The 19,204-nt window shown below is 45.9% G+C and overlaps 1 long non-coding RNA gene and 1 pseudogene across 1 annotated transcript in view, besides 2 other annotated features; both read right to left on the reverse strand.

Annotated features, from left to right (window-relative positions):
• Positions 5,624 to 5,918: an enhancer, noted in NCBI's record as "tiled region #13012; HepG2 Activating non-DNase unmatched - State 22:ReprW, and K562 Activating DNase matched - State 8:EnhW". NCBI's record gives its function as "activates a minimal TATA promoter and a strong SV40 promoter by Sharpr-MPRA in HepG2 and K562 cells {active_cell/tissue: HepG2 | K562}" and the evidence as "EXISTENCE:reporter gene assay evidence [ECO:0000049][PMID:27701403]".
• OASL2P (2'-5' oligoadenylate synthetase like 2, pseudogene) lies at positions 12,750 to 18,688 on the reverse strand (annotated as a pseudogene).
• The window catches only part of LOC105378258 (uncharacterized), a 33,706-nt gene continuing 32,809 nt past the window's right edge, over positions 18,308 to 19,204 (reverse strand). Inside the window, exon 4 of the long non-coding RNA XR_007063492.1 lies at positions 18,308 to 18,774. This is a non-coding gene — a long non-coding RNA (uncharacterized LOC105378258). The remainder of the gene's footprint in view (positions 18,775 to 19,204) is intronic.
• Positions 19,020 to 19,109: an enhancer, noted in NCBI's record as "active region_7154". NCBI's record gives its function as "activates an Ori minimal core promoter by ATAC-STARR-seq in GM12878 lymphoblastoid cells {active_cell/tissue: GM12878}" and the evidence as "EXISTENCE:reporter gene assay evidence [ECO:0000049][PMID:35858748]".

Here is a 19,204-nt window from a genome sequence, read left to right on the forward strand (position 1 = left end):
GAGGCTGAGGTGGGAGGACCACTTGAGTCTAGGAGTTTCAGGCTGCAGTGAACTATCATGGTGCCACTGCACTCCAGCCTGGGTGACAGCATGAGACTCTGTCTCCAAATAAAAAATAAAAAAGACTGGCACTCCAGCCAGGAGGATGAGGGTACAGCATAGAGGCTGAGAAGTATAAATAATGCTAGGATATGCCAGGGACTCAAGTGTGCTGTGTGCCTTGGGATGAAAGGGTGAGCAGGGGAGAGGTTAGAAATGTACCTGGACAGGTGGGCAGGATTGAATCTTGGAGTGCTATTCACTCATTCGTTCACTCATTCAACAGATACTTACTGGGCACCTACTCTGTGCCAGGCAGGTGCTGTGGATACAACAGTGAACAAACAGTAGTGAAAAATCCCTACCTGCAGATAGTTTTCTTTCTGGTAGTGGAGACAAACAACAAATAGGATAAATAGGTAAAATTATAGTAAAGAAGACGGTGATAAGTGCTAAGCAGAAAAACAAAGCAAGAGAAGGGATTAAGAGGTTGTGTGTGTGTGTGTGTGTGTGTGTGTGTGTGTGTGTGTGTGTGTTGGGGGCATGTATTTAGGTTTCAGTCTTACATAAGGTGATTAGGGAAGGCCTCCCTGAAAAGGAGACATCTGAGCAAAGACATAAGAAGGTGAAGAGTTTGGGAGGCCAAGACGGGTGGATCACAAGGTCAGGAGATCGAGACCATCCTGGTTAATACGGTGAAACCCCATCTCTACTAAAAGTACAAAAAATTAGCCGGGCGTGGTGGCAGGCACCTGTAGTCCCAGCTATTCGGGACGCTGAGGCAGGAGAATGGCGTGAACCCAGGAGGCAAAGCTTGCAGTGAGCCAAGATTGCACCACTGAACTCCAGCGAGACTCCGTCTCAAAAAAAAAAAAAAAAAAGAAGGTAGAGTGAGCCACGTGTGTAACAGAAGGAAGAAGATTCTTCATGGCAGAAGGAGTGGAAAGTACGAGGACCCTGTGGTGGTACTGCCCGGTGGCAAGTATAAGGAACATCAGTGTGCCTGGAACGGAGTGATCAAGAGCAGAGAGTGGAAGGGAATGCGGTTTAAGTAGTAAAGGGTGGCAAGGCAAATAGATACAGGATCCTTTTTTTTTTTTTTTTTGAGATGGAGTTTCACAATTGTTGCCCAGGCTAGAGTGCAATGGCACAATCTCGGCTCACTGCAACCTCCACCTCCCAGGTTCAAGCGATTCTCCTGCCTCAGCCTCCTGAGCAGCTGGGATTCAAGGTGCCCACCGCCACACCTAGCTGATTTTTGTACTTTTAGTAGAGACGGTGTTTCACCATGTTGGCCAGGCTGGTCTCTAACTCCTGACCTCAGGCGATCCACCCGCCTCGGCCTCCCAAAGTGCTGGGATTACAGGCGTGAGCCACCGCACCCAGCCAGGATATAAGATCTTTTTAAAAAGATTTATTCCATAAACAAGGAGCAGGAGTGGATAGGATCTTGAAGACGACTGTTAGGAGTTGGCTTTACTCTGAATGAAATGGGGAACCACTGGGGAGCATTTTTTGTTGTTCTGTAGGAGTCTGACACCATACATTGGAGAGTTTTGAGTGGAGGAGTGACACGGTCTTTCATTTTAATGGAATTAATCACATTGGCTGCTGGGAGGAAATTAAATTAGAAGCAGAGGGTGGAGTGGAGGTGAAAGTGGAGGCAGAAGTATGGTTAGGAGGCTACTGCAACAGTCCAGGCAAGAGGTCAGTTGACTTGGATCAGAGTGGTAGCAGTGAAATAGTATGTTTTAATTTTTCTGATTTTGGAACATTTCAAACAAAGTGGAATAATACAATGAACCTCCATGTACCATCACCAGTTTCAACAATGATCAACTTATAGACAGTCTGGTTTCAATTCTACCCCCATCCCTAGATTCCCTACTGTGTTATTTGGAAGTGAATCTGGACATCATGTCATTCCGCTGGATATATTTTGACTCCAAGGCTGACAGGTCTTGCTAATGGGTAGAGTATGATGAGAGAGAAAGATCAGAGTCAAGGTCTAAGTCCGGGGCTTTTGGCCTTAGCAACAGAAAGGTTGAACTGCCCTTAACTGAGGTGGGATAGGCTGGGCATGGAGATGAGGAAGGAACTCAGTTTTGGAACTGAAGTTTGGGGTGTCTGTCAGAGACCCAGGTGGAGATATGTGGTGGGGAGTTGGATATGCGAGTCTGTATTACAGGGAGGAGGTCTGGACTTGAGATAAAATGTGGGGGTCACCGGCATAGGGATGTTTAAAGCCATGACACTGAATGAGATCACCAAGGGAGTGATGACACAGCAGGAAGAGAAAAAGACCCAGGACTGAGCCCCAGAGCACTTAATATTATTCGGAGTTTAGGGAGTTGCACGAGTCCAGCAAAGAAGAAGGAAAAGAAGTAGCTAGTGAGGTGGAAGAGAAATCAGGAGTGATGGTTTGAAGGCCAAGTGAAGATATTGTTTTAAGAAAGAGGAAATGGGATGGGCATGGTGGCTCACACCTGAAATCCCAGCACTTTGAAAGTCAAGATGGGAGGATCGCTTGAGCCCAGGAATTCAAGATCAGCCTGGGCAACATGGCAAAACCCCATCTCTACAAAAAAATACAAAAATTAGCCAGGTATGATGGTGAGTGCCCATAGTCCCAGCTACTCAGGAGGCTGAGGTAGGAGGATCACCTCAGTCCAGGGAGGTCGCGGCTGCAGTGAGCCATGATCATGCTACTGCACTCCAGCCTGGGTGACAGAGTGAGACCCTGTCTCAAAAAAAAAAAAAAAAAAAAAAGGAGAAGAAGAAGAAGAAGAAATGGAAATGATCCACTGGGTTAAAAGAGTGCCAGGTGAATCTGCTTTTTGTCCTGAGGGCAGTGGCAAATTTAGGGGAGTGGCATGTAGTGGAGTTAAGATTGGTCTGGCTGCTTCCATGGTGAGGACGAACCGCAGAGGGCAAGGGCAGATGCAGGGAAATGCATTAGGACACTTCGCAGGGGTGCAGGTGATAAGCAGTGAGGCCCAAGACAAGGCTGGAAGCAGTGCAGGTGGAGAAGAGGGGTTGGATTCTAGGTCTATTTTGGAAGAAGGGTGGGCAGGGCTTCTTGTTGACTATAGGTGAGGGGCAAGGAGAAGACAGGGATGACTCCCAGCTCTCTGGCTTGTGTCCTTGAGTAACTGTTGGAGCCACCATTCCCAAGGAGAGAAGGAGGAGTGGGTATGGCTGTGGGGAGTTCGAGGGGTGCATTTTGGATAATGATTTGGTAGTACCCAAGGATGAGAAGCGAGTGACCTGCTCCATGTAAAGACATATTTGATTTCCCTCAGTATACACGTGGTCACTGGTACCTTGGGGAAGAATGAATCACACCAAAATGAACTAATGTAGAGACAGAGTCTCGTTCCATCTCCCAGGCTGGAGAGCAGTGGTGCAATCATAGCTCACTGCAGCCTCGAACCCCGGCTCAAGCAATCCTCCCACCTCAGCATCCCAAAGTGCTGAGATTGCAGGCATGAACTGCTATGCCTGGCCAAGCCCCAAATTTAAGTGATGAGCAGAGGAAGAGAAATTTAGGCGGTACCTGCTGGGGTGGCCAAAGAGGTGGGCATAACCAGAGTTAAAAAAAAGTCACCCACATTGCTGAATGCTTCTGAAAAGTTAAGAAATACAGACCTGAAAAGTACTCAAGAAAACGACTGGTGATCAAGGTGGGCACAGTTTTAGGCGAGAGGAGGGAGCTGAAGCCAGATTAGGCTGGGTGGGGTCGGGGGCATGGAGACCAGAAGTGCAGATGATTCTTTCAAGGAGTTTGTCCATCATGACACATTCCAATTTAACTTTTCAAACTGGCTAACCCCAAGTGGAAAGCATCACATATTTTAATTACATAAATTATAAAAGTTCTTATATTTCCAGTGTTTGGTAGTACCTGATCCTTCAGCAATACCATATTATGAGGATTTAAAGAGCAGTGACAATTTCACAAAGCTAAGTCAACAACCGGTTAAGACTCCAAACATTTGCCATATGGTTACGATGACTGACAATGAACTTCAAGGCAATATAGAAGTTATTCAAACAATAAACATTCAGACCTTAACCTATTGGTTTTTTATTCGACTTCGTGAAATCTCTGAGGGTTACATAGCTTTCAATTATTTGATCATTAATATGTTGGATGACATTTGAGGATTTCAAAAGGGAACATGAAATCAGTAATGTGTTGGTTTTATGGTTTGTTAAAATACCACCCAGTTGAGCAGGCATCTGCAGGGAGGGAGAAGAGCCAGTGGATAGGAAGGGGCTGAGCTAGGTTTTGAGCAGGAGAAAGAGACACAAAGATGAGTGTTGTCTTAGCTTGGATTCCCCTCAATGCAGAGCATGAGACAAGGGGTTGCATGAAGGTGGTTTGTTCTGGGAAATGATCTCAAGGGGTAAGTGTGGGGGATTAGGAAGCAGAGAAAGCCAATCTGAGGAACTCTTTCTCTTTTTCTTTCTTTCTTTCTTTCTTCTTTCTTTCTTTCTCTTTCTTTCTTTCTTTCTTTCTTTCTTTCTTTCTTCCTTCCTTCCTTCCTTTCTTTCTCTTTCTTTCTGTCATCTCTCTCTCTCTCTTTTCTCTTCCTTTTTTTTTTGATGTTGTCTTGCTCATTCGCCCAGGCTGGAGTGCAGTGGCATGATCACAACTCACTATAACCTCGACCTCTTGGGCTTAAGTGATCCTCCCACCTCAGCCTCCTGAGTAGCTGGGACTACAGGCACAAGCCACCACACCTGGCTAATTTTAAATTGTTTTTTGTTGTTGTTGTTGAGACAGGGTCTCACTATGTTGCCCAAGCTGGTGTCGAACTCCTAGGCTCAAGTGATCCTCCCACCTCAGCCTCCTGAGTAGGTAGAGCTACAGGCACCATGCCTGGTTAATTTTCAGAAAATTGTTTGTAGAGATGGGGTCTTGCTACCTCAGACAGGGCTGAGATAGGAGGATCTCCTGAATGTGGGAAGTCAAGGCTGCAGTGAGCCCTGATCACTCCACTGTACTCCAGCCTGGGCAAGGGAGTGAGACCCTGTTTAAAAAAAGAAAAAATTGTCCATCTGAGAGGTAGAAGAGGGGCCACTGGTTCTGGCCTTCCCCTTGGTTATGGGTTGCTCCATTGGGTGTTAACTCCCTTGAACTTGCAGGTTTGCTCATGCATCCTAATGGGTGAGTAGGCACCCACAGATGTGTCTTATGAGGTGGCGGAGAATGCCTTGATAGAAAGCAGGGCCAAGTTTCCTATTCATGGAGAGAGATTATAGAAGAAAATGGCTCACAGGCTGGGTGTGGTGGCTCATGCCTGTAATCCCAGCACTTTGGGAGGCTGAGATGGGCAGATCACCTGAGAGGTCAGGAGTTCGAGTTCAGCCTGGCCAAATGGTGAAACCCTGTCTCTACTAAAAATACAAAAAATTAACAGAGCGCAGTGGCGGGTGCCTGTAATCCCAGCAACTAGGGAGGCTGAGATGGGAGAATTGCTTGAACCGGGAGGCGGAGTTTGCAGTGAACCGAGATCGCACCACTGCACTCCAGCATGGGCAACAGAGCGAGACTCCGTCTCAAAGAAAAAAAAAAAAAAAAAAAAAGGCTAACAATGCATAGAATAATGCTGCCAATTTCCTCTCCTCCCTGTATACACACTCCTCTACAAGGCTGGCTTTGCAGCTCCTCCCAGCAAGAGGTGGAGTTTATTTCTCTATTTCCTTCAAATCAAGGCTTGGCCATGTGACTTGTTTTGGCCAGTGAGACATTAGCAAACGCGATGCAAGCAGATGCTTAAAAAGTGCCGGCCTAGGGGGACTTGCTCTTTCTCTTGCTCCTGTCAGAGCCCAGTGACCACATGCACAAGCTCAGGTTGGCCTATTGGGTAAGGAGAAACCTACGGTGAAGGCAGCCCTATTTTCTCAGCTGATATATATATACACACACACACACACACACATATATATATATATATACACATACACATATATATACATATACACATATACATATATATACATATACACACACACTATATATATCACTATATATTATATATATTATATATATCACTATATATAATATATATCACTATATATTATATATATCACTATATATTTATATTATCACTATATATTATATATATCACTATATATTATATATATCACTATATATAATATATATATCACTATATATAATATATATATCACTATATATAATATATATATCACTATATATATAATATATATATATATAAAATACATATATAGTTTGTTTGTTTTTTCTTTAGACGGAGTTTCACTCTTATTGCCCAGGCTGGAGTGTAGTGGCATGATCTCAGCTCATAGCAACCTCCAGCTCCTTGGTTCAAGTGATTCTCCTGCCTCAGCCTCCCGAGTAGCTGGGAGTACAGGCGCCCGCCACCACATCCGGCTAATTTTTTGTGTTTTTAGTAGAGACGGGGTTCCACCATGTTGGCCAGGCTGGTCTCAAACTCCTGACCTCAGGTGATCCACCCACCTCGGCCTCCCAAAGTGCTGAGATTACAAGCATGAGCCACCACGCCCAGCCTTCCCAGCTGATATTGAACCAACTGCCAGACACGTGGGTGGAGCTGGTGTAGATCTCCTGTGGCAGGTGAGCCAGATCAGACCAGGAAAACTGCTCAGCCAAGTCACAGAATCATTGAACAGAAAAATGGATGTTGTGGAGTGATTCACTATGCCCAGAACCAAGCCGGGTCCGGCTGCATTTTCTCGAGGCCCAATAACGAGAAGCAGAGAAACTAGAAAAGAAGGGAATTTATTGCTGTAACAAGATACAGGGAGATAATTCCACCAGACCAAATCAAAGTGTTACCATTTTCTTAGTGCTTATATAGGTTGAGGTTATGTGCCTATGTGCCGTATGGCATTCGCCTAAGTCTATTGGTAACTAATTTTGTTTCAACTAGAAGGTCAGAGGCCAAAAAAAAAAAAAAAAAAGACTTGCTAAGTTCCATTAAGCTGTGAGAACCCCGGTACCTTTTGTTTTTTGAGATGGAGTCTTGCTCTCTTGCCCAGGCTGGAGTACAGTGGCATGATTTCACTTCACTGCAACCTCTGCCTCCCAGGTTCAAGAAATTCTCTTGTCTCAGCCTCTTGAGTTGCCGGGACCACAGGTGCACACCACCATGCCTGGCTAATTTTTGTATTTTTAGTAGAGATAGGGTCTCACCATATTGGTCAGGCTGGTCTTGAACTCCTGACCTCAGGTGATCCACCCACCTCAGGCTCCCAAAGTGCTGGGATTACAGGTGTGAGCCACCGGGCCCGGCGGAGAACCCCAGTACCTTTAAGGCCTGTCTGTTGTGTGATTATTTCTGTCTTATCTCCTTTACAGCTTGGTCCGGATTGCTGCCTTAGACTCTCCAATGAATTTATTCAAACAGCTGCCTTTGTGCTGCTGTGTTTTGCTTATCTGGGAGCGAGAGTTTCTGTGTCTGTTCCCAGGCATCTTCTTGCAGCTGCAGGCATCCCCGCCACGTCTGCTTCTAGCTTCCCTGTAGTCTTTGTGCTGCTCTGCGGAAATGGGTCGGTGTAACGGAAGTGCTATGCAGGTCTGTGTGTGTGATTGTCAGGGAGAGTTGGCCTGGCACATAAACCAGCTGGCACCCCCTCTGGCATCATCTGGACTCCTGGATCCACATGACAGTTAATTTTAGGTATCAGGATGCCCAGAGAGTAAAACATTATCGCTGGGTGTGCCTGTAAGGCTATTTCCAGAGGAGATTAGCATTTGAATGAGTACACTGAGGGATGAAGATCTGCCCTCACTAATGTAGGTGGGCACCGTCCAATCCACTGAGAGCCTGGACAGAACAAAATGTGAAGGAAGGGTGATGAATTTGCCATCCTCCTTGGGAGCTGGGACATTCATCTTCTCCTGCCATCAGACATCAGAGCTCCAGGTTCTCAGATCTTCGGACTCTGAGCCTTACACCACTGGCTCCTCTGGGTCTCCAGCTTGTTGACGCCATATTTTGGAACTTCTAAGCCTCCGTAATCATATGAGCCAATGATTTGGTTTGGACCTGTGTCTCTGCCCAAATCTGATGTTAAACTGTAATCCCCAGTGTTGGAGGTGGGAGCTGGTGGGAGGTGACTGGATTATGGGGGTGGAGTTCTCATGAATGGTTTAGCACCATCTCCCCTTGATACTGCAGAGTGAGTTCTTGTGAGATCTGGTTGTTTAAAAAGTGTGCAGGAGGCTGGCAGGTGAATTGCTTGAGGTCAGAAGTTCAAGACCAGCCTGGCCAACATGGTGAAACCTTGTCTCCACTAAAATACAAAAGTGAGCTGGGCTTGGTGGTGGGCACCTGTAATCCCAGCTACTAGAGAGGCTGAGGCAGGAGAATTGCTTGAACCCAGGTGGTGGAGGTTGCAGTGAGCAAAGATCATGACACTGCACTCCAGCCTGGGTGACAGAGCAAGACTCTGTATCAAAAAAAAAAAAAAAAATTATGAAGGACCTCCCCCTTCTCTCTCTTGCTCCTGCTCCAGCCATGATTGTAAGTTTCCTGAGGCTTCCCCAGAAGCGGAAGTTGCAATGCTTCCTGTACAGGCTGCAGAAGTGTGAGCCAATTAAACCTCTTTTCTTCGTAAATTACCCAGTCTCAGGTGTTTCTTTATAGCAGTGTGAGACCAGACTAATGCAGTCAATTCCCCTAATAAATCCCCTCTTCTTTATCTACACATATACCCTACTGGTTCTGTTTCCATGGAGAACCCTGACTAACACGGTCCAGTTGTACCTAATGTTAGCTTCCCCTGGACTCTTACGGGCCATTATATGCTATTTATTTTGAATTTGTATTTGTATTTTTAGAGTCAGGGTCTCACTCTTTCACCCAGGCTGGGGTGTAGTGGCACAATCATAGCTCACTGTAACCTCCAATACCTGGGCTTATGTGATCCTCCTACCTCAGCCTCCCGAGTGGCTAGGACTATAGATGTGCGCTTACCACACCTACCTAACTTTTATATTTTTTGTAGATATGAGATCTCTGTGTTGCCCAGGCTGGTCTCAAACTCCTGGCCTCAAGTGATTTTCCTGCCTTGGCCTCCCAAAGTGCTGGGATTGTAGGTATGAGCCACCGCAGCCAGCCCATTCTACTTATTTTTGCATAAACTATTTTGAATGGGGTGTCTGTCACTTGCAACCCAAAATGTCCTTATGTTCCAGGAGTGAATGGACTGGAAGGATAAATGGGCAGAAAATTGAAGGCATCCACTAGGGAGTGACTGGCAGGCTTGACCATGGGGTCTGGGCTGGATAGAAAGGCAAGTAAACCAGGGTGTAGAAGAAATGGGTCAGTAGCCCAAGGTCCTTCCTCCTTGAAACCTTAAGACTTCCTTCTCTGAATCTCTTCTTGGAGCTGAATGAAATTCACTGGTAGCCTCCTGGTCTCCCCAGTGATACTGGGCTCTTGCTAACTCATATCAGCCTGTTTTCTATAGGCCCCTAGAATTCCACAGAATTGTGACCGCCTCCCTGTTTAAAAGTAGGAAAACTGTGGAGGCCCGTCCCTGATCATTACCATAATTCATCTCCTTGCATTCTGGCAAAACAGCTCAGTTGGACTTCTGGGTCTTAGGGACTTTCTCCTTGTGATATCTGGAGCACCACGGAATAAAGCTGCATCCAGTTTTCAACCTACCCAAAGGACAGAAACTTGCACAAAAATTGTCTCAATGCCTAATATCACAACATTTTCTCCATCCTCCTTCCTGACTCTAAAGCAGGAGGGAGATAGCTCCTGGGGATTCTGAAACCAACAGGCAAATGGCAAATGTTGTCAGGGATAAACATGCAAATTTATGCATAAAATATGAAAAACGCCAATGGTCAGAACTTAATCACATGGTCACACCCAGCTGCAAGGGAGGCTGGGAAATGTAGTCTTTAGCCTTTGGCAATGTGCCTAACTAAAAATTCTATTGCTATGGAAGAAAGGGAGAAAGGATATTGAGGGAAAATAGCAATTTCTGCCACAGCATGCATTCTGTTTTTGCCATGTTGGCCGTGGTATAGAACTAAGAGTGAGGGAACTTCCAGGACTGGAAAGAATACAACTCTTTAGAATTCCCTCTACTCCAACACGAGGATATGCAGGGAGAATTTGGAGGGGGCAGTGGAAGGAGCTAATAACAGCTGGTAGCTGTTGCATTTAGTGAGCACTGTGTGTTAGGCAGTGGGTGCAGAATTTCACCTGTGTCGTGTTGTTCCAGACCTCATCCAATACCTCATTCAGTCCTCCTTGAATTCATCCATTCATTCAACATGTATTTACGGAGCTCCTATTATGTGTTAGCCACTGTGCCAGGCACTGGGAGACAGCGCTGAATAAGACGGTCCTCCATTCCTGGTGAGTTTACAGCAAAGCAAAGTAGTCGCAGCATGAGCTTTGGAGCCAGAGTGTCTGGATTCAAATCCAAGTGTATTCATTGTGTGAATGTGGAAGTCATCTAAACTATTTGTGTCTCAGTTTCCCCACCTGGAAAATGAGGATGATAATAGGACCTACATCCTAAGCCTACTGTGGTGCTCCGAAGAAGGAATAGATGGAAAGTACTCAGCCCAGCACCTGACACATAGTTGGTGCTCAATGAATGTGAGCTATTATTCTAATGAGAAGACAAATCTCGAATTGGAATTTTAATGAGATGAGTGTGAACAGAAAGAAGAGCAGGGTTCACTGTTAGCAGTGGCTAGAAATCTGGGAGCCATTCTTTATTTTTTTTTTTTTTGAGATGGAGTCTTGCTCTGTTGCCCAGGCTGGAGTGCAGTGGTACAATCTCAGCTCACTGCAACCTCTGCCTCCCGGGTTCAAGTGATTCTCCTGCCTCAGTTTCCCTAGTAGCTAGGACTAGAGGTGCATGCCACCACGGCCTTTTTTTGTTGTTTTTTTTTTGTACTTTTAGTAGGTATGGGTTTTTGCCACATTGGCTGGGCTGGTCTCAAACTCCTGACCTCAGGTGATCCACCCGCCTCGGCCTCCCAAAGTGCTGGGATTACAGGTGTGAGCCACCGTGCCTGGCTGAGTCATTCTTTTTCCCAGATTATTCAGTTGAGATATAACTCACAAACAATAGAGCACACAGGTTTGAAGTGCAGTGGATGAGGATGATGGCACTTGCCACCAGATGCCCCTTCAGGACTGGGGCACTCATTTCCCAGCTGTTGGGAGTGTTGCTGCTAACAGCTCCTAGTTGAGTCCCTGCCAGAGCATTGCCCTCAGACAATGGGAGGTTGCTTCACTCAAGATCATATCCTCAGACCAGGTGTGCCTGTTATCCCAGCACTTTGGGAGGCCAAGGAGGGAGGGTTGCTTGAACCCGGGAGACAGGGGTTGCAGTGATCTGAGATTGTGCCACTGCACTCCAGCCACTGCACTCTAGCCTGGGCGACAAAGTGAGACTCCGTCTCAAAAAAAAAAAAAAGAAAAAAGAAAAATAATGGTAAATATCTACAAGTTACAAAGAGTTCTTAAAACTGATAAGGAAGACAGACAGCTCAATGGGAAAATGTGCAAATTACATTAATACATAGCTCCCAAAAGTTCTAGTTGAGAAGTCCCAAACAAATGCATTTTTTTGAAAGGTAGACTACAAAACCAGTATGCATGATATGACTCCACTTATGTAAGCTCTGTGTGCACCGTACGCACATAGATTTCAAGAGAGGCAGGAGAGGCTAGGCGTGGTGGCTCGCACCTGTAATCCCAGCACTTTGGGAGACCGAGTTGGTAGGACTGCTTGAGCAACAGAGTGATACCCCCTGCATCCCATCTCTACAAACCATAAAAAAATTAGCTTGATGTGGTGGCACATGCCTGTGGTTCCAGCCACACAGAAAGGTGAGGCAGGAGGCTTATCTGAGCCCAGGTCAAGGCTGCAATGAGCTGTGATGGCACCACTGCACCACTCCAGCCTGGGGGACAGAGGGAGATCCTGTCTCAAAAAACAAAAAAGAGAATAGTATAGCACAGTATGGCAACAACAAACAAACAAAATGGCTATCCCTAACATTGTACGGTATCCTTAGACAATGAAGGTTATTTCCATTTTTTTCTCTTAAAAAATGCTGGAGGCCGGGCGCGGTGGCTCACACTTGTAATCCCAGCACTCTGGGAGGCCGAGGTGGGCAGATCACCTGATGTCAGGAGTTTGAGACCAACCTGACCAACGTGGTGAAACTTCGTCTCTACTAAAAATACAAAAATTAGCCGGGCGTGGTGGCGCATGCCTGTAGTCCCAGCTACTCGGGAGGCTGAGGCAGAAGAATCACTTGAACCTGGGAGATGAAGGTTGCAATGAGCAGAGACTGTGCCACTGCACTCCAGCCTGGGCAACAGAGCGAGACCTTGCCTCAAAAAATAAAAAATAAATAAAAATAAAAAATAAACAGGGCCCAACACCCTGCAAGCAACCTTTCTAATCCCAAAGGATTAGAGAGAAATCACCTCCTTGGGTTGGGTGGGAATCCATCATTTGGAAGTCCCATTTATTTCCCCAGGCCATGATGGAATATGGTAACACATGCATTTATGGGAGGACTTAATCTCCAAGGTATCGCTCCAGTCCTGTCTCCCTGAAAAAGGGCAACCTCCACTCTCCCACTGGATTCCACTTTCTCAAGCCTCCCGAGGCCAGGTTGGCAAAGCGGCCCTGACTAGTTTCTCTGGACCCGACCTGTCGCTGTCTTTACCCAGAGCATCGAAAGCCGGGAGCTTATCCATCCAAATGACTCCGCTGCTCTTCCTGGACTGGACCTGGAGGGACAGGGAGTCAGGGGCCCTTGTACCCTCCCTGTGCCGGACCACAGTGATATTGTAGGCCAGGCTCTTGCTACAGTGAACCAATTCTCTTCAATGAAGCTGATGATACTGTCTCGCAGCTGTGCCTGGTCTTGGACGCTGGAGAAGCAGCTCAGGAAGAGAATCAGGTCCAGGTCAGAGCTGTAGTTCAGCATCGTCCCCTTCCCTGTGGAGACGCTCTGTGGAGGATGACATGGGTGAGTGTCACCTCTGCTGAGATCTGATGCTTTGGGGTTAGGAATGAAGCCAGAGGCACCCAGGTTAGGCTGTTCACCCAGGTCCCAAAGGAGCCCTTGGTCTCCATCATACATCATGGTCTTTGCTGAGTATTATTACTTTTTTCATTGATTCAAAAAAATTAAATACCCGGTAAACACTTCAAAGGATGTAAGTAAAATGTAAAACTCCACTCCTCTTAAAGCCCGAAACTCCTTTTCCAGAGACAACCACAGTTACAAGCTTCTTGCATATCGCTCCATAAATGTACAGCAAGACCTGTATCACCCAACATGGTATCCAAGAACCACATGTGGCTATTTAAATTTAAATTAATTATGCTGGGAGCAGTGGCTCACGCCTGTATTGCCAGCACTTTGGGAGGCTGAGGTGGGAGGATTGCTTGAGGCCAGGAGTTTGAGGCTGCAGTGAGCCATGATCACCCCACTGGTACTGCAGCCTGGGTGACAGAGACACTGTCTCCAATAGATAAATAAATAAATTTAAATGAATTAAAATGAAATGAAATAAAACATTCAGTACTTTGGTCCTACTGACCTCATTTGACGTGCTCAAGGGCTGCCCAGAAATAGTGGCTATTGTATTGGACGGTGAATGTATAGAACCTTCCCACAGGGTGCGGTGGCTCACACCTGTAATCCCAGCACTTCGGGAGGCCAAAGCGGGAAGGTTGCTTTGAGCCAAGGAGTTCGAGATCAGCCTGGGCAACAGGGCAAAACCCTGTGTCAACAAAAAAATCAGCCGGGGGTAGCGCTGCATGCCTGTAGTCCCAGCTTCTCGGGAAGCTCAGGTGGGACGATCGCTTGAGTCAGGGAGGTTGAGGCCGCAGTGAGCGGAGACCGTGCCATGGTACTCCAGCCTGGGCAACAGGGCAAGACCCTGTCTACAAAAAAGAACCTTCCTATCATCATAGAAAATTCTATGAACAGTTCTGACTGAAACATATTGTTGTGCATATATTTTGTATACATCTATTTCGTATGCGTAGAGGCATGTGTGTATGTATAACCATTTTTGAGACTTTTAATTTGGAAGTAATTACAGATTCACAGGAAGTTGTAAAGATAGGACAGAGGCGTCTGGTGTGTCCTTTACTCAGTCCCCCTCAATGCTCACATCTTACACAGCTATAGTGGAATGTCAAACCCAGCAAATTGACATCAACACAATGTTTGTATTCGTTGTGTGACGTATCATCACATGCAGGGATTCCTGTAACCACCACTGCAATCAAGATGGAGAACTATTCCATTACTGCCAAGATGGGCCTCATGCAGCTTCTTCATGTCACACCCACCTCCCTCCCCTCCTCCATCCTGAAATCAGGGAAACCATTAACCTCTTTTCCATCTCTGTTGTCTTATCATTTTGAGAATATTATATACATGGAACTATATGGTATGTGACCTTTTGAAATTGGCTTTTCCCCTCCACTAAGCAAAATGCTTTTGATATCCACTGGTGTTGCATGTCTTTTGTGTGTGTGTTTTCTTTTGTTTATTTATTTTTTTGAGGCAGGGTCTCACTCTGCTGCCCAGGCTGGAGTGCAGTGGCACGATCTTGGCTCACTGCAACCTCCATCTCCTGGGTTCAAGCAATTCCCATGCCTCAGCCTCCCGAGTAGCTGGGACTATAGGCATGGGCCACCACACCTGGCTAATTTTTGTAATTTTTGGTGGAGATGGGGTTTCACTGTGTTGGCCAGGCTGGTCTCCAACTCCTGTCCTCATGTGATTTACCTGGTTCGGCCTCCCAAAGTACTGGGATTACAGGCGCGAGCACCGCGCCAGCCATCACTCTTGTTACAGATTATTCAAGATTTGACTCCAGTCCCTAATCTGCCTGCCTGCTATTTAGTTTTTGGAGTCCTCAAGTACTTGCTTTCTAATGTCTGTCCAGAGTTTTAGTTGTAATTTGTGAGATGTTTACTACATCTTGGCTGGCACCGGAAGTTTATAATCACTTTTGAAATAAGTATATTTATAGTTACACATGAAATAAAATATTTTCTAGTTCTTTATAAACATTGAAAATGTGATCATAGTGCACTAAAATATAAATGGTGCTTATCTATGAATAGTAAGGGCATTCATTTGAGGGTTTTTTTTGGTATTTTCCTATATTTTTGTGACTCAATGTATGATTTTTGTAATTAAAAACATTATGAAGCAATTTTGACTTCAGATTCCTCTGTAACCTTAATTTAGACATTGGATTCCTTGACCAGAGGACACAGAATAGTAGAAAAGGAAGAATATTGGTGTCAGGTGGAGTTAGTGACTAAGTACTGCAAGAGATGTCCTTGCAAATGTTGTCCCTGGTCCCAGAAGACTCTCCAAGATATTCATGGCAGGAAATCAAATGGAACCAGTATATTCGACTCTAGAAAAATACAGCACTCTTGTCTTAATAAGGATGAATGAAAGCTAGAAGACTAAAATGCAACTAAGAAAACTTAGGGCTGGGTGTGGTGGCTCACGCCTGTAATCCCAGCACTTTGGGAGGCCGAGGCAGGAGGATCACCTGAGGTCAGGAGTTTGAGACCAGCCTGGCCAACATGGTGAAAGCCCGTCTCTACTAAAAATATAAAAAATTACCCAGGTGTGGTGGTGCATGCCTGTAATCCCAGCTACTCGGGAGGCTGAGGTAGGAGAACTGCTTGAACATGGGAGAAGGAGGTTGCAGTGAGCCGAGATCATGCCAGTGCGCTCCAGCCTGGGTGACAGAGTGAGACTCTCTCTCAAGAAAAAAAAAAAAGAAAGAAAAGAAAACTTAAAGGCCGAGTATGGTGGCTCACACCTGTAATCCCAGCCCTTTGGGAGGCCGAGGCGAGTGGATTGCCTGAGCTCAGGAGTTCAAGATCAGCCTGGGCAACATGGTGAAACCCCATCTCTACAAACACAAAAAAAGAAAAAAAAAATTAGCTAGGCGTGGTGTTGCGTGCTTGTAATCCCAGCTACTTGGGAGGCTGAGGCTGAGGCACGAGAATTGCTTGAACCTGGGAGGTGGAAGTTGCAGTAAGCCGAAATTGTGCCACCACTGAACTCCAGCCTGGGCAACAGAGCAATACTGTCTCAAAAAAAAAAAAAAGAAAAAAGAAAAAAAAAACCAGAAAGGAAGAAAACTTAGTGCTTGAAAAGCTCAAGCAAATGTTGAATTATATGCAATGTACTCCCTTCTTCCCAATACAGAAACAAAGTCCTTCTTGTTGCTTGTTTACCGATGTTTATTCAGACAGGATCTCTAGCTCTATAGATAACTTTGTTGTAGGCATTTTCTGTGCTGGTCAAAACTGGTGGAAATAGGTATTCTAGGGGCGTTTCCACCTCTGGAAATAGAGATGGTTGAGAGAGCAAGAGGAAAGGTAAAATGCATTTTTTTCTTATACAGACAAATAGTCTCCATTTGAAACACATCCCCGTAGAGGCGGGAATAGGAACTTCACGTTGTGAGTGTTTGAGATCATATGAATGGTGCGCCTCCCATCAAGACAGTGCCTTTCAATCAGTAGAAGAACTTTATTATAACATATGTTAAAGTACTTGAACACCCTCGAACCCATTCTTAAGAGAATACGCATTCTATTTCTGGTTCTGATCGGGATTCCCCTTTTCTTTGTGTTTTTGTTTTGGATCTGGAAAGCAAAGATGCTGCCAGAGCTCTGCAGCAGAGGGACCTTAGGGCACATGCAGATGTGTGGACGAGCCAGAAGCCAGAAGGGCAAAGTTGTATCTTTTTAAGCAACCATGGAAGCTCGAATTTCTGTTTTGAAGCTCAGGGTTTGCTAGTAACACTCCTGATTATTTGCCTTCGACTCCGTATTTAAAGATTCTTTTTTTGAGACACTGTCACCCAGGCTACAGTGCAGCGGCATGACCACAGCTCACTGCAGCCTCGACCTCCTGGCCTCAAGTGATCCTCCCACCTCAGCCTCCCGAGTAGCTGGGACCACAGGTGGATGCTACCATACCTGGCTAATTTTTTTGTGCTTTTTGTAGAGACAAGTTTTCGTGATGTTGCCCAGGCTGGTCTTGAGCTCCTGGGCTCAAGCAATCTGCCTACATTGGCTTCTCAAAGTGCCGGGATTACAGGCGAGAACCACTGTGCCTGGCCTGAAGATTCATTAAAGCTGCATTTCCTTCCTTTTCAGTCGTATTCTCGGCAGCCATTGCCACTCCCAGGTGAAGTCTGATTTGCTTAAGATAATGTTAGATGTCTTTCATTCTAGCAAAATAAACCAAATCTAGATTTATGGTTAAGGCATTTTTGATTTAGGGTGATATGTTAAAAGTTGAACTATAGTTTAGTACTTTCCCAGGGGAAACCATGCTATAAATACGTATTTGATTCCATGGTCAGCCTCTAACAAACCCTCTGAACCCAGAGAGTACCCTCTGATATTACCTAATTGCTAGGTAGTTTCTAACAAAATCAGTCAGCGCCATTTTATTTTTTTACTTTTTTTTTTTTTTTTTGAGATCGAGTCTCACTCTGTCACCCAGGCTGGAGTGGCGTGATCTCAGCTCACTGCAAGCTCTGCCTCCCGGGTTCACACCATTCTCCTGCCTCAGCCTCCCGAGTAGCTGGGATTACAGGCGCCTGCCACCACACCTGACTAAGTTTTTTTTTGTATTTTTATAGTAGAGACGGGGTTTCACCATGTTAGCCAGGATGGTCTCGATCTCCTGACCTCGTGTTCCGCCTGCCTTGGCCTCCCAAAGTACCGAGATTACAGGCGTGAGCCACCGCGCCCGGCCAGTCAGTGCCATTTTAGAAGGAAAATATAGATGATCTTGATGACTTTAGGGGTTAAGTGGGGCTGGTTAAAGAGGAAACAAAAGGCATAAATTTTATTTTAATTTCTTTAAAAATTTTTTTTAAATAATATATAAAAAAGTTTAAAATTTTAAATAATTGAGATGAGGTCTTGCAATGTTGCCCAGGCTGGCCTTGAACTCCTGGGTTCAAGTGATCCTCCCCACTCAGCGTCCCAAAGTGCTGGGATTACAGGTGTGAGCCACTGTGCCTGGCCAAAAGGCATAAATTTTATACAAACCTGCTACCCATAGTCCACTTGATTCCCTGGCACTTAGAGAGCTGGATCCCAAATCATCATCATCATCATCATCATCATCATCATCATCATCCAGATTTGTAGAATAGTTTACTGCTTAAGAGCACTTTTCTATGCTTTATCCCATTTATTGTTCATTAGAAACCGGTTTTAGAGAGGAAGAGACCGATGCTCAGAGAGACAAAATAACTCATCCCTTACCTATCCCACAGCCCCACAGTCCCACAGGGCAGAGCTGGGATTTGAACCCCGGGGGTTCCTGAGTGCTCACCTTTGCCATCTTCAGCACCCTGACTTCCTGGTCCAGAATCAGCTCATTATAGAAGAACTGATCCCTCAAGAACTGCTCAGTTCAATGCCCGGCATCCTTCACTTCATCCTTCCAGTCTCCCTGGGGCTGGAGGCTGTTTTACGAAGGCAGACTGGAAGGATGTTTTATGAAGACATCCAGCCTGTCCCCAGGGGTGTCATACAGGTCCTGGAAGCCTGCCATCTCTGTGGGACCAGGAATGAATCGTCTCTGCTTCTGCCCAGCCCTGTAAGGGGCAACTCCCAGCCTTTGTCCAGTAGGCCACAGAACTGCAGAAGGGCAGGGAGATGGTGTGGGTTAGAGAGAGAGTTAGCTGCCCTTTTTCTTTCTTTTTTTTTTTTTTTTTGATACAGAGTCTTGCTCTGTCACCCATGGCGTGATCTCAGCTCACCGCAACCTCTGCCTCCCGGGTTCAAGGGATTCTCCCACCTCAGCCTCCTGTGTAGCTGGGATTACAGGCACCTGACACCACGCCCGGCTAATTTTTGGTATTTTTGGTATTTTTAGTAGAAACGGGGTTTCACCATGTTGGCCAGGCTGGTCTCAAACTCCTGACCTCAGGTGATCTGCCCGCCTTGGGCTCCCAAAGTGCTGGGATTACAGGCGTGAGCCACCGACGGAAGAATCACTAAGCTTACTTTCCTCTTTTTAGGGTGCAGAGAGGGCTAGGGGGCCCTCCAGGCATCAGCTGAGCCTCCC

This window comes from Homo sapiens, chromosome 12 (genome assembly GCF_000001405.40).
Source record: "Homo sapiens chromosome 12, GRCh38.p14 Primary Assembly".
NCBI lineage: Eukaryota > Metazoa > Chordata > Mammalia > Primates > Hominidae > Homo > Homo sapiens.